Source organism: Homo sapiens, chromosome 5 (genome assembly GCF_000001405.40).
Source record: "Homo sapiens chromosome 5, GRCh38.p14 Primary Assembly".
NCBI lineage: Eukaryota > Metazoa > Chordata > Mammalia > Primates > Hominidae > Homo > Homo sapiens.
Window position 1 is genome coordinate 82,793,575 of NC_000005.10, and position 3,025 is coordinate 82,796,599.

Genomic DNA, 3,025 nt, shown 5'->3' on the forward strand with positions numbered 1-3,025 from the left:
CATAGTAAAGACAATATGGCATATTCAATCTCTACTTGGATAATTATAAATAATTAAATTTAATTAAGCCCTAATTATGCATAATGAAAAAAAAACTAGCATTTCCCTGGGATGTTCATGCAATCCCATGACTAGCTTGGCTAACTGTACACTGCAGCACAAAACTTGAAAATTATTAAGAAACCTAAAAAGCAGCAGATACCGCTAATTTAAGATGTGTCCTGGAACAAGCCGCTCAATTTCTGTGGGACTTAGCTTCCTCACCTACATAGCCCTGGGTGGAATTAATTCTTTCCAAGACGTCTTCCAGACTTCAGAGTCTGTGTTTATATGATTATCTAGTCTACCTTTTTCTTATCTCAACACAACTTAAGGAAAGCAGCACAATCCCATCTTTAGTGGTGGCAGAGATCCTCAAATGACGTGATAGGTGCCCCCTACTGGAGTGTCTCAGAATTGCTAGTGTGGTGGGAAGGAGGAATTTGTAGATTGAAAAACAAATAAACAAACAAAAAAAACCCGCCAAAGGAAAGTAAAGTGGGGTTTTACTTCTGTTGTCCCTATTGACTAAAGTATTCCAACCATCCAAATACTAAATTTTAAAAATTATTATATTTAGAAAGCCTTGTGGGGGCCAAGAGAGACTTCCCCTTTGCCCTCTGGGGAGTTGCTGAAAAATCAACTCACAAAAGGCAGATTAACTGGAGAAAAGGCACACATATTTATTTAATGTGCACATAGGGAGAATCACTGAGGGATGCCCACCATCCCAAATGGTTCAGAAGCTTAGATACTGCCTTGGCAGAACAGGTTACCCGAGAGGGGCAAAGAGAAATTCTGTTGAGGGGATTACTAGGGAGAATGAATGTCTCAGGGAACAGAAATTAGCTTGTCCATTATCTTGTGAAAGGGTCTGTTCAGGCATCATTGCATTCTTGGTTTTACAGGGAGAAGAAAAAACAATTGTTCCTTTTGGTGGGCCTGGATCTTAGGCAGATAAAGGTTTTGGGAGAGACGGTGGGTGGAGGAGGGCACTTACATGAGGTTTCTGCAGTTCAGCATGTCAAAACACATTTGGAGTTACTGATTTCTGAGCCCTAACAATCTCTAATCCAGGGATCATAGAAAAGCGGCCCTCAAACCATAAACAGTCTATATATGTGTTTTATACGGTCAATGTTCTTAAAATATTGGAATTTGTCACCAAAACTTACAACCCAAGAGAATTCACAAAATCCGAATTTCTGGTTTGCTTTGAAAATTCAGAGGACCAGGCTACAGTAGGCTCACCTTCTTGCAGCATGATAATGGTTGTAGCTGAGTAGCATTTGACTCCCTGACTACCATTCTCAATGGCCTCTTTAGCATTTGTCACTATGTGTTTCTCTCTTTTTCTTCTAGTAGAGAAACATTTTTCTGTATCTCAGCTCTATCAAAGGTAGGGAATCTAAAGACAAACCATGTTTCTTATGCCATCCGATTTCATTCATTCATCATCAGTGTCTCATATTTGACTCACCACTACTGTTTCCCACAAATTGGCCAGTCAAATAACAGGGAACTTATTTTCTGCTTTGTCACTTTGAGAAATATCGATTTGACCAGTTTTTACTCTTACTCTTTTTATTCATTTACTCTCAGGATGATTGCCAGATTTTCCCTTTCTCTGAAGCTCATTTATTTTAATAAAGTATAATATACTTTATTACTAATTTACATTCCCAGAAAATATATGTACTATATAATATAATATATAAATATACATTAAATATACAATGTAGGTATATATTACATTTATATATTATAATACATAGTATATATAATACTTATAATATATAACATTATATTTTCTATAATATATACATAATATATGTATAAAATAGAAAAAAAGATCCACAACAGACACAAATACTGTCAGTCACACATAAAAAAATGAGCAAAACTTCCTATCAATTATAAAATGTTTCTGAAAAATATAAAAAGTATCTAAGTATAAGGAACAATATGCCATATTCATTAATAGGAAGATGCAATAATACAAAGATATCATTATCCTAGCATTCATTTATAACATCAGTAAAATGCTTAAAAATTTTTGAATTTTTTTCCATGAAACTTAATAAGCTGATTCTAAATTTATATGTAATTCCAAAAGGGTCAAATCTATTCAAGAGAATTTTCAAGAAGAAGAGGTAAAAAGACTTATCCTAAAAATTACAGGACTTTAAGCTATGGAAGTTAAGATGGTAAGGTATTGTGACAAGAATAAAGAGACCAAACATAAATCTACATGTATGTACCCCTAATTCAACAATGTAACTACACTTAGTCTCTAAATACCATTTCCTACTAAAATGAACAAAGGCTCCTTGGAGAAAGAGCTGATTCCAGATCTGGAAACATAATTTACAGAATTGTCAGAAATATTTTGTCACTTTCAAGAGCAAGGAAGCTCTCCAAACTACCAGGGTCATGACAAAAGGACTTAGGAGCCAACTTAAAGAGGCTCCCAGTGGCCAAAAATAAGCATCAATAAGAATAATAACCAAAAAAAAATTACGGTATTGAGGTATATATGTATAGATTCTTGAGATAACAATGTGTCTACACAACAATTACCACCATGACAAACCTTGTTCATCACTTTTAAAGGATGCCAGAAAGCCAACTCATTTTAGTAGCTTATAAATAAAGATAAAGAATCAAATATTCTTTCTGACTTTCCAATAAAAACCATAACCCAAGGGAACCAAATAAGTAATGAAAATTTCTCTTTATAAATGATTTCTTGCTAATAAATGAAGAAAAATGACAGAATGAGAATATCACCATTTTACAACCCTTATTGAAATAAATTAATGGAGGCAATGATTGCTAACATCATCAAAAGTAAGAAAAGACATTACATGCTTTCTAATAGAAGTACATGTGTTATGTACCCATGGGATTTTAATTTGTAGAGGTGACTGGGTGACAACATAGAGAAGCTAATGCCATTGAAAGATTTTTATTATTTACATTGCAC